This window comes from Homo sapiens, chromosome 2 (genome assembly GCF_000001405.40).
Source record: "Homo sapiens chromosome 2, GRCh38.p14 Primary Assembly".
Lineage (NCBI taxonomy): Eukaryota > Metazoa > Chordata > Mammalia > Primates > Hominidae > Homo > Homo sapiens.
In genome coordinates, this window is record NC_000002.12 from 118978419 (window position 1) to 118995949 (window position 17531).

The following is a 17531-nucleotide window of genomic DNA, read 5'->3' on the forward strand; positions in this document are numbered from 1 at the left end:
TCAAATGCCCTGGATGGTTCTGACCATGAAGGTCTGTGCACCACACTCGAAGAAACACTGGCTTATGGGCTCTGGACTTGACTGAGCATGCCACGCTCTCCGCCTCTCAGCCTCCTGCAGTCATTGGGGAGGCTCTGCAGTGAATGGCAGAGAGTGAGGATTGCGGGGCCAGGCGGGCTTGGTTCCCATCCCTGCTCTGCACCTGCTCCCCTGTGTGACTAACGCAATACTTCACCCTTCTGAGCTTTAATGTTCTCATTTTAGAAAAGAATGGTAATTAAGTTAAAAAATAATTAAATTAGATATATTTTACAAGACAGTAATAAGGGTTAGAGACCATGTTTTCAAGCTGTCTGCAACATGATAGGCATTAAATACATGACAACTAGTAATAGGCATTAAATATGTGATAGCTAGTAATAGTAATAGTATTAGTAATAATAATAGTAGTAGTAGTTATCCTGTAACGTAGAAAGGGAAGGACTTCAGTTTCAAGATCAGACAGACCTGGGTTCTGATATGGCTCACTAACTGTGTGACCTTGGGCAAATGAATTAACCTCTCTTAGCCTCAATTTACTCTCCTAGAAAAGGGAGCTAATAATAATACAAACCTTTAATGAGGATGAATTACTGCAGGAATATAAGACATATGAGATGTGTACCACTGTACCTGGCACATGGGAATTCCTTACAAAAAAACTGGGAAGCCTTGCCCTCAAGAAGACAGCCCTTAGTAGGGATGTGTCAGCCATCCTCAAATATTCAAAGGGCATTTGTGGGAAAGAAAATGGTCTTGCCCAGGGTGGTACCCAGCAGAAGAACAAGGACCAATGGACTAAGGTTTCAGGAGGACCAATTGTGCTAAGGCAAGGGAGGAAGAATGATTCAGAACCTGGGGCTGACCCATGATGAAGTGCGTGGGCATGGGTTTTAGCGGGAAGCTGACTGCTGGGAGGGGAGGAGGGGCTGCAGAATTCTCCTAGGCTGGTCTGATGAGGGATACTGGCACCAGGAACATGGTTGGGTGGTTGACCTCTGAGGATCCTTCCAAAGCTGGAACAACACAGTTCTCTTTATAGATGGGAAAGGGAGACCCAGACTTTCTCAAGGTGGTCCTGCCAGCCCCAGAGAAGGGGCCTCAGCCAGGTCTTTGCCCACTGAGTCTGAGTTATGCAGCTTCCCAACCACACTGTCACAAAGGCACGCATAGAATCCACACCCAGACTCAGGCTTGGAAACGCTGTGGTTGGCGAAGGGAAAGGCAGCAGTTTGAGTTCTTCAAAAATCAGGACTCAGGCCCACCCCTCCTCTTCCCAAATTTCCTCTCCCAAGATCATGAGGTCTCTCTTACCCATGGCTTGCTCAATCCACTGCTGGTGGCTGGGCTGTGCAAACCAAGAGAGACCTGACCCCAATAGTGCTGAGATTTTACCTATTCTCTTCCTGCTAGTAGACAGATAAGCCACCAACTTAAAGTCCCAGGGGATAAGCCTATTTTCCTCACTCTACTACTTAGCTACAGTTGGGAAGTTCTGAAGTCAGGCAGCTGTGCTTCCTTGGCTAGAGCCAGAGTGTGGTCCTCTGACTGATGTGATACTGCCCTCTTCCCAAAGCCATTCCCTTTGCTGGGGAGTGGAAGTTATAGCAACACAGATGCAGGTCCAGACCATTCTGAAGAAACTTCATGTGGCCCAGCAATGCTGTAACTTGATGGTCCTGGCCCACAGCAAAAAAGGCACCAACAGATTCCTCCAGGGAAACAGTTCTCAGTGCCTTCTAACAGGTGCCGTTGGCCCCTTCTCCAGGGTGGACACTCTGAACGGCCAAGAACAGCCTCCTCTGCTTTTTGCATCTCCAGCTGTTATAGGACGCCTCAGCCATAACCAAGTTCCTTAGGATTGCTTTGTCTTCCTCAAGGAGCAGCCACCCTTCAAGTATTCAGCCATCTCAAGGGGTCTGATTCATGAGCCTCATACCTCGTGAATTCACAGCACTCAATGCTAAGACCCAGGGCTCTCCCTTCTTCCTCACCTCTTCAGAGCTCTCTCTCCCCTTTTCTAATTCACTGGAGAGAAGGCTGGTGTCATGCCTGAGTCCTCCCCAGCTTCAGAATTATCAAAATCATAGATTGGAGCAATAAATGCCTTTTAGCAAAATTGCATCCCAATAAGCCTTTTTGAAAGCCTAAAATGTTGTGTTGAGGTGAGATATTCCTCTTTAGACCTTTGCCCCACTCTACCCACCCCCAGGGGAGTGGAGTTGAGCACGGACACCCAGCTGATGGTGGGACCTTGGCAGCCTACCAGTAGTACCCTGCATTGCATGGCTGGCAAGGTCCAGGCAGTCCACCCCTAAACCAAAGAAGTCACAGAGCCCTACCCCAGTGAGGAGCCTCTGTCAATTGATATGCACCAGGCACCAGCAAGAGAGGAGGGAGCGACAGAGGACTCAGAAGGGGACAGGCTAGGATGAGCTCTGAATTCTGATGATAAGTGGAAAATTTGAAATCTTGGGTACCAGGAAAGCCCATGTCTGAAGTGCTGGCAGGAATATGAGCTGCTGCAGTGTTTTTCTCTCTATTGATGCCTCAGAGTTGCTATTCTCAGCATTTGGGATCTGCTTTTCGGAATACTCAGGTTTCAATTTTTGAAGTGAATTCAAATAATTGCCAAAATGCAGACACTAAAACAAGCCAGACAGTGCTGGCTGAGCCTTGGCTATTGTCCCTCCCAAGGGGACCAGGGCTTTCTGTTGACTGTCAGCCATACCAGATCACCTCACCAAATTTTCATGAGTTTCTTTCTTGTCTCTGGGGCAAAGCGGTGCACTCCTTGAGGGCAGCGGTCATATCTTCCACTCGCGGGCACCAAGTAGGAGCTCAAGGAGTTTAGGGTTTGGGATTTCAGTGGAATGGGAAGTGTCAGAGGAGGACATGGTGGCCTGATTGGAGTTCCTCCCACAACTAACCAAGACTTTTTGGTTTTTCAGGAAGCAAAGGGGACAGGGGCATGAAAGGAGATGCAGGGGTCATGGGGCCTCCTGGAGCCCAGGGGAGTAAAGGTGACTTCGGGAGGCCAGGCCCACCAGGTAAGAGGGCACGTGGTCACATCCACTGACCTCTAGGTATTTCCTTTTTTTTTTTTTTCTGGCTGGCTGAGCCAAAGGAAAAAAAAATTCCTAAAAGTTCTTTTTCATCTTAGGTTTGGCTGGTTTTCCTGGAGCTAAAGGAGATCAAGGTAAGAACTACAGGAATCTGGGCATCATCCCAGCTACGACTGTCCCTGGCAGAGTGAAGCTGGGGACCAGACACCACCATCTTTTGCTTCATTGTAGTATTCACCCAGAACACCTGGGGTTTTTTAGACATCTGGCCCTGGCCAAGAGGAACAGAGCAGCCAGTGGGCGGTGGGGGCAGGCCTCACTGATGTTTCTCTCTAGACTTTACCCCACTTTGCCACCCAGGGGGTGGAGTTGGACAGTCACACCCAGAGCTCCTAGTAAGTCCATAAGTCCCAGGCCCTGCAGATGGAAAAGATTAGTAAGTTGCTGAGAATAATTTTCCTCCTACTAAGAGGGCTAGCTCATGGCTTCTAAAGAGAGGTGTTAAAGCTGCCAAGAGGACTGTAAGGTGTTAAGAGGTACATGTCTCACTGCTGAAAACAGAAGCACTGGGGGTTGGGGTATCTGGGCCCTCTGCCAACCACCACAGCCTGGCAGTCACTACTTTCCTTTCAGGACAACCTGGACTGCAGGGTGTTCCGGGCCCTCCTGGTGCAGTGGGACACCCAGGTGCCAAGGGTGAGCCTGGCAGTGCTGGCTCCCCTGGGCGAGCAGGTGAGGTCCTGGGTCCTATGGTGGGCACAGGGAGTGATGTGTGAAAACCTGCCTAGTCCAGCCCTTATGCTCTCTGTGGTGTCTGTTGTCCAGGACTTCCAGGGAGCCCCGGGAGTCCAGGAGCCACAGGCCTGAAAGGAAGCAAAGGGGACACAGGTAACAGAGGGTGCAGTGGGTGAGTAGGTGGGCTTGCTGGGTGGCAGGATGGATGGAGAGAAAAACTGCTTCTTCTTAGGCCCACGGAGGAGGCAGAGGGTCTTCTGTGCCTTGGCCTCTGAGGTTCCTGGTTATGGGGGCAGTTGCCCCTGCCAGGACCCCTTAAGCCCAAGGGCCTAGGGCTGTTCTTTCTCTTCTCAGAGCTCATGAAAGTCCTTGAATGCCATGACCAAACCTCCAGCATCACGGAGGAGAGCAAAGCACCTTGCCCATACCATCTCCCTGGTCTGCCTCCCAGCTGTACGTTTCTGCTGTCTCCTGCTAACCCTTCATTGGGGCCCCTAAGAGGGGGTCCAAGAGTCTAGATTCAGGCTGGAGGGTCCAGAAAACTCTTCTTCCACATTTTCCTAGGGGGGCAGCCTGGGAGCACTGACCCACACTAGCCAAAGACTAGTTTATACCATAATGCCAACAGAGTCTAGGTTAGTCTAGGTTATATACCATCATGTCTATTTAGTCTAGGTCGTAAACCATTGTACCAATATAGTCTACTTTATAAGCCGTTTTGGTCCAGTCACAGTGTGCTTGCTTGGTCTAGAAAGTCCAGACCACTATCACAATGCATAAGATCAATTCCTGCCTTTCTGCCCTGACATGCAGGGTATTGCAGTGAACAGAGACTGTTGCCAGATGATGTGGGCACACTCTGATTGGGCATTTCTGTGGAGAACTGTTGCACATTGGAAAGCCAAGAGCGGGCAGGAGGGGCAATGGGGAAGGCAGGGTTGTGATGTAAAGCTGCATGTCTGCCAAGGACATCTGTAGACAGTCTGCCTCCACCCCTGTCCTCTGCCTGAGAAGGTCACGCTTGTGTCAGACAACCTGGATGCCCTCACCCCCGTGCTGTGCTAGAGACCTACACTGGGACCTGGCCCTCCACAGCTCTAATCAATTGATTGATTCATTCATCACCACCTCCTGGCAAACCTTGGGCTCTGGGCTTGAGCTTTTGTGTTTCTTTGAAAGCTGTCGGGAGCCATGGCAAGCGCAGTTTTACACCCTCTCTGTCCTTGTAATCTGTCGAGCCCCAGAGCAATTGTGTTTTTTATGGACAGTGTGTTTGGGAGGATCCCTGCTACCTGATCCCATGTGGATGCCACCTGAAGGCCACTAGCTGGGTCTCACCATAGGAAAGTTTCCATCTGGGTATAGTCGTCAGATGTTCCTGACTTGTTCACTGTCCATTCTGATCTTATAATTCCATCTTCTCTGGTCCCCAGTCTCAGAGTCCATCTGACTATGAGACCTGATGCTCTCTTGCCCCTGAGCCTTCTGTGTGATTTCATGGAGATGATTGCTTTCATCTCTCGGTTGTAAATAGTAGTCACCCTCTGCCCCCACCCCCACTGCCAGACTAACGGTTCTCAACTAACCAAGAGTATTGGAGGTAAAACATGATTTTACCCACAGGAGCATTGTGCTTACTCCCCAAGCCCCAAGCTTGTGTCTTCCACAGTCTGAGGGTAGGGAATCCTGCCCTGCCCTTTGCATCCTGGGAGGATTTGCAGAACAAAAGCAGCTCCTGCTAATGAGCATCTTCTTGACACCCAGTGGGACAAGCACTCTTTGTAGCACAACTTTACGGTCAAACAGCCATTAAGAGATGCAGCCAGGTTCAAATCTAGGCCAGTACAAGACAAAGCTTGGGATCTTATTAGTACAGTCTATCATGAGTTCTCCCTCCCCAGCCCCACAATCAGGGTGTGCTGATGAGTGACACCTCCTCCCTTCATCCCAGTTCAGAAAGGATCAGAGCAGAAGGTAGCAGCTTGTTCCATTCCTGGGAAGAAACATGAAGCTTTCAGGCCCTATCATGGTTCTTAGTTATTTAACCAGGACCCCACACCCATTTTAGCAAAAGACTTTTGGCCCATAGCTTGGGGATCATTTTAATTTCATCCTCATCGAGACCTTTTATATCTGCTGAATACCCTTATGGAGTTCTCCAATAATTAGGCCTAGTGGTGAGTACCAGCCAGCAAATTCTAGGGGTTACCCTTAATTCTGGCTGACCAAGTAAACATGAGGAAGTGCATTTCAATTTGGGGCTTGTGATAATTCCCGTTTATCTAAAACTGTGCAGGTTGCCCACCCGAGTCCAAATGTTTTCCTTGATTTAGTAGCTGACAGTCCACATGGACATCTCAGAGGGGAATTCCAATAGGACCATAATCTGGCTAATTTAGCTGGGTATGTAGATCATCCTGGAGTCATAGGCTAATAAACTTCCGGAGAGATTAGATTTGACAACTTCTGAAGTGGGAGAAGCAGGGGCAGGCAGAGGGTGGGAGCCCAATCTCCCCATCATGGAGCACAGTGTATACTTGTCAATGTCAGGATGTCGGTATTCCCCAAACTAAAGCCACTGCAGTGCTTGGCCAGTGTTGATATATCAAGCCAGGTTTCCAAACTGATGTATTTCCCATTTTGTAAATAAAATCGTTAATCTCTCAAGAGAATATCTAGCCACTTTAGATGAAAACAGAAAAATTACAGTGCGTTGGCTTGACCTAGGTGACAGCTAGGTTTCATTACTGCGCATTAATTATTTTAAAAACATGAGCGGTCTGTTCATTATTATCAGTGCCTCTGGGCCAGGCACTGTGCCTGGGTCTTGACTCCCATGATCACACTGAACTTATCATTCCTACTTTACAAACAAGGAAGCAAAGGCTCAGAGAGAGTAAACCCTTTGCTCACAGTGTCACAGGGAGCATGAACTGAATTCAGAAGTGAATCCCAAAGTCTGATTCCAGAGTTGTGCTTTTCCAGAATCGGTTTTATGGAAGAACGTAGAGTGTATGATTTGAGAGAAATCGGTTACCTTCACCCTGTCCCCACCCCAGCCACACCTCCCACTCCTCCATAAATGGGTAAATCCTGGCTTGGTCACCAAGCCTTTCTACCTCCTCCACAGCCACTGACCACACTCTACCCCATTCAGGTGAAATGCTTCCTCTTGTTTGCATCTCTTGAGAGAGGAGCCAGCTCATATTAAAGAAGACAAAGAGGAAATTCTTCCCATTCTGGTGGGAAGATAACCTCCACAGTTTATTAAGCAAGGCACCATACCCTGCAGAACCTTCTCTCAGGGTCACTTTTTTTACCTACTAGAAACAGACCCTGTCCAGCCTCCATCACTTAGTATTTCTAACATTTTCACTTTCAAAGATTGCAGAAGAATAATCCAATTTTAGCTCTACATGTCTTAGCTATTTTGAAATAATATTTATTTAGAAATAAGGAAGGACTCCACTTCGGCTTGTAATCATGACATTTCTCTTTTTACCATTTACACCTCATGAAATAACATTAGAAGCAGCCAAAACATTTAAACTCCAAAACACCAATCTGATTGGAAATTCTTTATCTCAATGGCCTTTATGTCTAAACTATAGCAATGTGAATTTTCCATGCCCTTTTATTTTCCTCTTGGGGCAAAACCGAAGTGCAAATAACTCAAAATCCATTTTCTCATCTGTATTTGAAGATGTTTTACTTTAAAGATAAGCCAAAAAGATCATCCATAATAGCAATTGAGCCCTATGTCATGAATATAATTTCTTAGTTAATTCCATTCCTTATATCTAAGTTCTGAGATAGTCCAATAATTTATTAAATTCTACTAAGTCAAATCACTAAATTGTCATTTATAAAACTCTTCCTCATTTTCCTCTAAGTTTCTGAGAGAGCTTTGCAGAAGTCTACACATACCCCAATTTTGAGTCCCTTATCCTTCATCTCACTTCTTACCACAAGGTCGATTTGTCAGTTATTAGCTCAATCCTAAATTTGCCAGGTTGCATCTAGCCTCCAAGTTGGCATGGTATTTAGGAAAGTTTCCCCAGACGGGGCAAGACAGCAATGTCCCCCTCTCTACAAAACATAAAAAAATTAGCTGGGCATAGTGGCATGTACCTGTAGTCTCAGCTACTCAGGTGGCTGAAGGAGGAGGAGAAGGATCACTTGAGCCAAAGAATTTGAGCCTGCAGTGAGCTATGATTGCACCACTGCACTCCAGCCTGAGCAACAGAGTGAGACCCTGTCAAAAAGAAGAAAGAAAGAAAGAGAGAGAGAGGAAGGAAGGAAGGGAGGGAGGGAGGGAGGGAAGGAAAGAAGAAAGAAAGAAAGAAAGAAAGAAAGAAAGAAAGAAAGAAAGAAAGAAAGAAAGAAAGAAAGAAAGAAGGAAGGAAGGAAGGAAGGAAAGAAAGAAAGAAAGAAAGAAAGAAAGAAAGAAAGAAAGAAAGAAAGAAAAGAAAGAAAGAAAGAGAAAGAAAGAGAAAGAAAGAAGAAAGAAAGAAAAGAAAGAGTGTGAGAGAAAAGAAAAGAAAGGGAAAGAAAGAAAGTTTTCTTAATGTATTGGAGATTTCTCCATTTCACTCAGAATCAGGAGATCTGAGCCTCAGCTTGAACTTACCCCTGACTAGCTGAGTGACCACAGGCTCAGCTACTTGACGTTGCTGAGCCTGTTTCCTTTTCTGTGGCGTGCAAGCAGTATAGAAGAACACCAGGTCCCTGACAGTTTCACAGCACTCTGGGTTTGAAATAGGCAGCTTCCCTGGGAGCAGGAACAATTGAAGACTTTAGTCAGAACACCAGCTCAACACTAAACAACTGGAAGGCATATGTTTTCTAACTTAACACACATTTCTTGGGAGAATATTATTTCTGTAAAAACACTTTGCAAGTAAATATTTGGAACCCTTTCAGCTTGATAAGCTTGTGATACTTGGGGAAAGCCAGCTTGCTTATGGTTAAGAAGAAAAATCCAGCATTTATTTGCTCTCCAGCGTAGTTTTACAACATGCAGCTCTAGAACCTATTTTTTAGCCATTTCTCCCTCTACTCTGCAGGAGCTGATCCTATCAGGATGCTGCCTTGATTTATAGTGAAGTAATTACTAGTTCCTCCATCGATTAGTCCATGGACAACCACTCAGCCAGTGTTCTCTTAGAGTCCAGCGAGGCTTGGAGAGAAATGATACAAACCTCAATTCTAATTTCCAATACCCATTAAATACATATCAGAAGGCATTTCATCAAGGTCCAACCTCTGCTATAGGAACTGTGGGTCTGGGAGGATTCAGATGCGAGAGGGGCTGTGAGCTCCTAAAGAGACAAGGAAGGCTGCTCGTAGGAGGTGGGCTGTAAGCTGGTCGCTCAAGAATGAGTGAGAGTTGTTTAGGGCAGTGTTACTCAAAATGTGGTCCTGAGACTTGCAGCATTAGCATCACCTGGGAACTTGTTAGTACTGTGGATTCTTGGATTCCCACTCCAGTCCCACTAAATCAGTGACTCCGGTGGGACCTAGCAAGTTGTTTACTAACAAGATGCACCCAGATGATTCTGATGTATTCTCTAGTTTGACTACTCCTCTTTTAGGGGGAAGAAATGGCCTCAGGGAGGCTGGAGGTGTCTTGGGAACCAAGTGCGTAGACCAAGTGAAACTCCAGATAGGAGTGAGCCTAGTACTAGTGGAACAAAGGTGCCTTCAGGGAACATTGGGAGGCTGGGCCTGGGTGACAGCCCCAACTTCCCCCATTCACTCTTATGTGACCTTGAATTACTCACCTAGCATCTCTGAGTGTGTACTTTCTCCTCTGTAAAGGAGGGAAATCACACTGCCTTGGAGGGTGGCTGAAAGATCAAACAAGGTCATGGATGTAAAGCCCCTGGCACAGTGCCTGGCGTGATGCAGGCAGCAGAAAATGCTGAGTCCCCTGGAGGTGAGGAGCTAGGAAGGGAGAGTGTGGGAAATGAAGAGGGAGAGTCAGGCTTGGGGCTATGGACCTGGTGAACAGGGGCTTCCCTATGATTCCTGTCTTTAGAGGGTGTTTGCTGCTCGGTGCTTTAGGGGACAGTTGGAGGGGTGCATCTCTTTAGGTGGTCACAATAAAGGGTGGTCACAGTGTTTTGAGGCCCCTTCTACTTACCTGCATGTGAACAGCGTATGTCAAGACTGGTGGGGAGAAAGACCACAATCTATATGTCTATGATGGTGATGAAGCAGGAAACAGTCCACATCCAGACTCTTGGCCCCTTCTATCTGCATCCCAGAGGGTGCCATGTTGCAGAAATCTCTACCTTAAGAGCGTGTCCCTAGAGGTAGGGTTCAGGGACCCCAAGACATAGTGACCTCCCTGGATGTGGACTGTTTTCTACTTCATCACCATCATAGACATACAGAATGTGATCTTTCGCCCAACCCATCTTGGCGTATGCTGTTCAGATGCAGGTAAGCAGAAGGGAAACATCTGTCGCTTCTCCTGGGCAATCTCAGCTAAGCCCTTCAGGTCAATAGCAGACATTTTCTGGGTGCTAGCTGTGCAGCAATCCTGGTGCTCATGTGTGGACTCAACCTCAGTGCCTGAGGTGCTCCCCACCTGGAGGGGACACAGGACACTGTGGGTCCTGTTACATCATTTATTCAGCACTGGCTGGGCACCGGGCTCAGCGCTTGATACACACGATTTCATTTCAGCCTTACAACTGCCTCAGGAGGCAAACAAGGAGACTCAGAGAAGGAAACTGAGGCTCAGAGCAGGGACACCTGGCTCAAGGTCACAAAGTTAGTATAAGACAGAAGTGGACTCAAGTCCGGGCTGTCAGACTTTGGAACCACTTTGCTTTACTGCCTTGGGAGAAAGGATATCTTGTCTTGGGCGAGGGAGAGAAGGCTTCACAGGTGGTGACATCTGACATCTTTGCAGAGTTTACAAGCTAAATGTGAGTTCTCCAGGTGAACCAAAGCAGTGAGGCATTCTATTCAGAGGGACAGGTGTGTGCACAAATGGCCCTGTGTAAGCTGGGGCCTGTCTGCCAGGGGCTGACCTCTAAGGCACCTCCAGCTCTTACAAAAACCTATCCCAACCTCAGTTCTGTCCCTTTCCCTAACACGAGGAACAGAAGTAGCTGCCCTCTCAGAATCTTCTGGTGCTTCCTGCTTCTCTTGTTGCCTGGGTCTGCAGCGGCAGCTCCCAGCCCCTTAGCTCTCCAGCCCTCCTCCCCAGGCAGCACCAGGCCTGGAGGTGGGATCTGAAATGCCCCCAGAGTCACAACTTCTCTTGCTCGTTATTCCAAGAAGGGGCCCTGAAGAGGTCTGCCAGCCCCTTGCCTCTCCCTCCACTGACCAGCACACTGCAGGTGCTTGGGAAATCCAGGGATTGAAGTGAGAGGTGGGGCAGGGCAGGCAGAAACTTCCCCGAGGCAACTGCAAGGAGGTTGACTGAGCTCCATGCTTGGCTGGGGACACAGATACTTATGACTCACTGTTGGTGTTCCCCTCATTACCCTCTAGTAACTGTTATTGATAGTCAATAATGAGCTTGCATTTTCCCAAGTTTGTGTAACTGCCTTGAGGAGTCCTATTTCTCTGAAATAAAATAAATATTGGCACTTAAAATCAAGAGGACATGATCTTGCTAAATGAACAAATTATTATCTCAGTGACCCAGCAGGATGCTGGGGACAGTGGGCCTTCCATGAAAGTTTACTGAAAAAAAAGGATGAATGGATGGAAAGAAGGAAGAAAGGGGGACCTTTAACATTAACTACAATAGGATCATCATCAATGACTGTGGTTATTATTTTTCCATTTTCTGGACATTAGACCCTTTAGCCACATGAATCTTTAGCCACTGGGAGCCACAATGAAAAAAACCAACAAATACTTGAAGAGCATCTACTATGCAGGAGGACCTCCAAAGCTCCTGGTGGCCACTGAGCCCCTCCACAGTCTTTTAGCAATAAAGATAACTTTATTTACCAAATATCTCCCAATTCTCTTCCAATATAAATGCAACAGCAGGGAATGGGATTGGATTTAGATGCCAGGTCAGGTTACCGGGGGGCAGGGAAGGCCAGTGGTGCATCTGGGGTCTGTCTAATCCAGGCTTTCATCCAGTACTTTGCCGTTTCACCCCCAACACACCTGTTCTCATTCATCTGCAGACTGTCTCTTTTCATGATCTGCTGAAGAGGCTTTAAACAATCGTGGAGAACCAATGTATCTTTCCATCTGCATTAATCAGACAAAAGGTAGAGGTTGTCTAAGATTAAAAATGTCTAATACCTAAGTTTTATTATCTCCTCCCCCCCCCCTTTTTTGTTTTGATCTTAGGACTTCAAGGACAGCAAGGAAGAAAAGGAGAATCAGGAGTTCCAGGTAAAGGGCAGGCTGCATCTTCATCCCTCGGAGTGATGACGGGGAAGGCCTGCCTTCTCAGAGGGCAGGTCTTGTTGACATTGAATGCACAGCTGTGACCTTCTCCCAAAGTGGAGGTTAAGACTCCAGGGCTCTGTCACTCAAGCCTCAGATTTCTCCGCTGCAAAACCTGGGAACCACAGGAACTCAACATCCTGAGGGGTGTAGCGTATGGGGCAGGGGCTGAGGATGGCAAAGGGGCTGAGGATGGCAAAGGGGAAAAATGTCAGGAGAGCTGGGGGTGCAGGCAGAGGCTCCAGGCTCTACAGCCGCCATGGAGCTGTGCCCCTTCTGCTCCATCCACGGCTGCTGCTTCCCCACCTCAGCTGTGGCCCACTTGTCTCTTCTTGGCCCCCAAGCTTCTCCTCTCTGCCTCCTGCTGCCTGTCACTGGGCTTTCTTATTCTTATCCTCACCTCCAGAGCCTGTGCTTCAGTTGGGTACTGAGCTGGCACCAGCTGGACGGTGTTTCTAGGCCTCTCAAGAGCCCTGCCCCTGTGAGTGCAAAAGTGAGATTTTTCAGACACATTTCTTGAGCAAGTTTTCTTCCTCATAAGCTAGATATTCTATTATGTTTTATGGTTTTTTTTTTTTTCAATTTTTTTAGAGACAAATTCTCTGTGTCACCCAGGCCCGAATGCAGTGGTGCCAGGACAGGATAGCTCACTGTAGCCTTGGCCTCCCGGGATCAAGTGATCCTCCCACCTTCGTCTCCCAAAGCTTGGGATTACAGGAGTAAGCCACTGTACTCGGCCTCTGTTACTATTTCAATTCACTAAAGGAGACATCGAGGCTTAGAAACATTCTAGCAAATTCTCCCAGCATGGCTAGAACTTCCACATAACTATGTAATTCCAGAAGGACCAAGAATCTGTGGAATACCACCAGCTATTTTAGCCTGCCTGTTCTCGACAGCATTTACCTAAGAGTTGAGAGATCAGTGCAGCCCCCAGATGGACCAAAGACAGGCTGAACATTCAGATAGCCCAGCCATGGGGGAGGTCTGGCAGTTAAGGATAACTCATTTATTAAACAGTAATGCCCTTGGGTCTCTCTTGGGAAGGCAAAGCAGGGCACCTGATCAGGGCAGTGTCTCTCCTTCCAGGCCCTGCAGGTGTGAAGGGAGAACAGGGGAGCCCAGGGCTGGCAGGTCCCAAGGGAGCCCCTGGACAAGCTGGCCAGAAGGGAGACCAGGGAGTGAAAGGTAAGGCCTCTGCATCTGATTCCTTTGTTCTTAGGACTGTGCTTTACAGCCAGTTCTGTACCTTAAAATAGGAAAGGCGCTGTTTTAAGAGTTCTGGGGATTTTCAGAACCCAGGAGGGTAGAGGTTTATTTCCTTGATTGACAAGTCTTGTGCTGGGGCTTGCCCTAGGCATGGAGCACACAGCAGCGGGTTAGGCGCAGCTCTAGCATCCAAGGCAGGGGCGTGAACATGCACTTGAGCCATGCCCCACGACCCAACACTCCTAGGCAGTTTCCATGAAGGAGATGAGCCCATCCCACTCCATATCTCTGACCAGACCAAGCATCCCTCACCAATCTAACTTCAACCCCTCTTGCTGTAGCTCAGGCCCGTTTCTTCCTGCTCAGTCATTGACACCCGCAGGACATCCCATCCCCATAATGCCAGGCCACAGGCGAGACCCACGGAGCATCTGACCACTCCCAACCCTCCACCCGCTCCCCACTCATGCAAATGCAGGCAAAGGCGTCCTGCCTGGGTTTCTTTCAAACCGTGTGGGTTTTCTCCTCATGACAGGATCTTCTGGGGAGCAAGGAGTAAAGGGAGAAAAAGGTGAAAGAGGTAATCACTATTTATATTATCTTTAATGTGTGCTTTAAAGTCAATTCTGCACCTGAAAATTGTGTGTGTTGGGGGAAGAGACCTTGGTTCTCAAATAAATTTCTCATTTTGGGGAGGAGTTGAGGGTCTAGTCCCTTGAATGAGCCTGCCCACGGCACAGAGCAGCAGTTTCTCTCCCCAGCCACTCTCTCCCTTCCTTCCTTCTCTCCCTTCCTTCCCCCTTTCTCCTTCTTCCTTTCCTTTTCTCTCTCCCTCCCTCCCTTCCTCCCCTTTCCCTTCTTTCTTTCCTCTCCATCCCTCCTTCCTTTCCCTCTCTCTCTCCATTCTTTCCTTCCTTCCTTCTCTTTTCTCAGCTTTCCTTTTTTTCTCTCCACAACACATGACAAGACGTGGTGTATGCGATTTGCAAACCAGCCACAGGGGCACCTGCCCCTGTGGCCTTGTGCCTGCAGGCCCCAGGTGCATGGAGGCTGCGTGCCAGGTTGGGTTGGCACTGTAAAGTGGGATCTTCCAGGCTCTGGTGACAGTCAAGCAGGGGCATTTCTTTTCCTTAACTGTAGAACTCCAAAATGAAAAGAAAGAGCCCGCACTTACCCAAAGCCCCAAGGGGCCTTCCTTGCCTCTCCCATGTGTGTTTCTTCACCCAGGTGAAAACTCAGTGTCCGTCAGGATTGTCGGCAGTAGTAACCGAGGCCGGGCTGAAGTTTACTACAGTGGTACCTGGGGGACAATTTGCGATGACGAGTGGCAAAATTCTGATGCCATTGTCTTCTGCCGCATGCTGGGTTACTCCAAAGGAAGGGCCCTGTACAAAGTGGGAGCTGGTAAGTGAGTCATCAGCCGGGGGCCTCTTCCCCAGAGGTGTGGATGTGGCTTTCTCTCGCTGGTGGGGTGTTGGCAAGTGACTCAGTGTGGTTTTCTTTAAAAGAAAAATATTGGTCCAAGCAACCAAAAAGCTCTGCAGTGCAGGGCTCCAGGTATGCATCCTTCCAGCTTGGCAACCCCAGCAGAAAGATGGCCTGTCTTCTCCAGCGCTGACAGTGAAGGCTGGCCTGGCTTCGGTCAAGGTCCATCCAGCCCTGGAGTCAGAATGCCACATGGCTGAGGGTGTTTGCCGCAGATGGCTCTCCAAAGGACAGCTGAGTTGATGCAACTGGAAGAACAGAGAGAAGATTCAGGGCAGGCAAACGCAGATGTTCACTCCAGCTGTCTGTGAACCAGCAGCCTGGATTGACCAGCAAGCAGTCTTGGCTGTGATCATCTTTAAAGAGAAGATGGGAAGGGAAGAGAAAGCAAATCAGAGCAGGGACTTACTAAAATGTGTGGAAAATGTCTTCGGATGCTGGAGACTCAGCCTATATCTTTCAGCCAAAAGTTCAAGCCTTGAGCAAAGAAGTTAAGTCCCCAGGCAGAACCCTTTTCTCTGGCTATAGGATCTGGCCCAGCAGGACATGAGGCCAGTTTCCCTTGCTCCCAGCCCCAAGTGCTCCCTGTCCTTACCCAAACCAAAGCAAATGCCCACTTTAGAGCAGGGCGATGGCTTGATTACAGAGGCATGTGAGGCAGGTGGACGCAGCAGGAGTGAATTTGCAGGGAGGAAACTAAAGGACACCCGCCTAGGAAGATATTTCAAATAGTGTGGGGTTTAAGCATTAAAGATTTGCATGAGACTTTTGTCAAAGGGTAGAGAATAGAACGGAGGCAAAGTCATTATAAAAACAACAACAACAACAACAACAACAACAAAAACAGGCTAAGCCAGCCATCAGCACATTGGGCCGGAATGGGCCAGAATGAGTGAGAAGTCGGCAGTCCACCTCAGATGGAAGCTCCCAGGCGCACACGTGGCTTCTTTGCTTTGACTCTAATCCTACCCTTCTTCCTCTGTCTCTTGCTTTCTCTCTATCAAGGCACTGGGCAGATCTGGCTGGATAATGTTCAGTGTCGGGGCACGGAGAGTACCCTGTGGAGCTGCACCAAGAATAGCTGGGGCCATCATGACTGCAGCCACGAGGAGGACGCAGGCGTGGAGTGCAGCGTCTGACCCGGAAACCCTTTCACTTCTCTGCTCCCGAGGTGTCCTCGGGCTCATATGTGGGAAGGCAGAGGATCTCTGAGGAGTTCCCTGGGGACAACTGAGCAGCCTCTGGAGAGGGGCCATTAATAAAGCTCAACATCATTGGCTGTGGCTGAGTGTCACTGTGTTCATACCTCCCATCCCCATTGATGTGCCCACTCCATGCACCACAACATTTCATTGAATTCTCTCATGTCCGTAGCCAGGGGAAGGAGAGGTTGGAGGTGGTGAGGCAGAAGGTGAAGGTCACCTATGGTCAACCTTAGTCTTGACCATCTCTTCAGTCATTCAGACATAACATCTCTCATGGTGAGCTCTCTATCCCCCTTTTTGTCCTCCCCTGACAGTGACCTGGTAACATTCCAGCACACACATGAACTCTCTTCATGCCCTATGCTGTGTGCTCCACCCTGACTCCACCTGCCCAACCGGTCCTTGCTCTCTCTCAGCGCCCTGCCTGCTGGGCTAAGCCCACTCTCCATGTTGCAAACCACATAGTAAGCCTGAAATCAGTCTTAGAGTCTCATTGATCTTTCCTTCCATACATGGGTGGGATTTACAGAATGGAAATATTTATCTGGAGTGACAGTAATCAAAAAAGTTTTCTGAAGAAAGCACAATTTGAACTGGACCTTAAAGGGTGGGGAGGATGTGACCCCTTCTTGGCATGCAGTGACTGTCACTCTAGGACCTGTAGGTATAAAAGGCTTCGTTTTCCTGAGCCTCTCCTGTGTCCCTTCTTGTGGCAACAACTCACTAACCATCTACTGAAAGAACAAAGAACACTAGGTATCAGCTTGTTTTTTTTTTTAAGTTTTAGGGTACATGTGCACAACGTGCAGGTTTGTTACATATGTATACATGTGCCATGTTGGTGTGCTGCACCCATTAACTCATCATTTAGCATTAGGTATATCTCCTAATGCTATCCCTCCCCCCTCCCCCCACCCCACAACAGCCCCTGGTGTGTGATGTTCCCCTTCCTGTGTCCATGTGTTCTCATTGTTCAATTCCCACATATGAGTGAGGACATGTGGTGTTTGGTTTTTTGTCCTTGCAATAGTTTGCTGAGAATGATGGTTTCCAGCTTCATCCATGTCCCTACAAAGGACATGAACTCATCCTTTTTTATGGATGTGTAGTATTCCATGGTGTATATGTGCCACATTTTCTTAATCCAGTCTATTGTTGTTGCACATTTGGGTTGGTTCCAAGTCTTTGCTGTTGTGAATAATGCCACAATAAACATATGTGTGCATGTGTCTTTATAGCAGCATGATTTATAATCCTTTGGGTATATACCCAGTAATGGGATGGCTGGGTCAAATGGTATTTCTAGTTCTAGATCCCTGAGGAATCACCACACTGACTTCCACAATGGTTGAACTAGTTTACA

The 17531-nt window shown here is 48.1% G+C and overlaps 1 protein-coding gene and 1 long non-coding RNA gene across 4 annotated transcripts in view, besides 2 other annotated features; one reads left to right on the forward strand and one right to left on the reverse strand.

Annotated features, from left to right (window-relative positions):
* Positions 1-16242, forward strand: part of MARCO (macrophage receptor with collagenous structure) — a 52467-nt gene extending 36225 nt beyond the window's left edge. For 2 of the 3 annotated variants that reach the window (NM_006770.4, XM_011512083.4), the window contains 9 exons: positions 2991-3089; positions 3203-3238; positions 3738-3836; positions 3930-3992; positions 12171-12215; positions 13359-13457; positions 14014-14058; positions 14706-14882; positions 15969-16242. In NM_006770.4, the coding sequence (NP_006761.1) occupies positions 2991-3089; positions 3203-3238; positions 3738-3836; positions 3930-3992; positions 12171-12215; positions 13359-13457; positions 14014-14058; positions 14706-14882; positions 15969-16102 (797 nt within the window). In that variant the 3' untranslated portion in view covers positions 16103-16242. Of the gene's footprint in view, positions 1-2990; positions 3090-3202; positions 3239-3737; positions 3837-3929; positions 3993-12170; positions 12216-13352; positions 13458-14013; positions 14059-14705; positions 14883-15968 lie in introns of all 3 variants that reach the window. The other variant, XM_011512082.3, reaches the window with a different exon arrangement.
* Positions 10569-11070: an enhancer, noted in NCBI's record as "H3K4me1 hESC enhancer chr2:119746563-119747064 (GRCh37/hg19 assembly coordinates)". NCBI's record gives its function as "activates a minimal SCP1, AML or CMV promoter by ChIP-STARR-seq in primed H9 embryonic stem cells {active_cell/tissue: H9 hESC(primed)}" and the evidence as "EXISTENCE:reporter gene assay evidence [ECO:0000049][PMID:30033119]".
* On the reverse strand, positions 11789-14900 carry LOC124906072 (uncharacterized). Its single transcript, XR_007087213.1, has 3 exons — positions 14653-14900; positions 12670-12748; positions 11789-12068 (listed from the first exon to the last, which is right to left on the reverse strand). It is a non-coding gene; the product is annotated as an uncharacterized LOC124906072 (long non-coding RNA).
* Positions 13979-15178: an enhancer, noted in NCBI's record as "MED14-independent group 3 enhancer chr2:119749973-119751172 (GRCh37/hg19 assembly coordinates)". NCBI's record gives its function as "activates an origin of replication core promoter dependent on BRD2, BRD4, P300/CBP and CDK7 cofactors, and independent of MED14, by STARR-seq in HCT116 cells {active_cell/tissue: HCT116}" and the evidence as "EXISTENCE:reporter gene assay evidence [ECO:0000049][PMID:35650434]".
* Positions 16243-17531: the final 1289 nt, after the last annotated feature.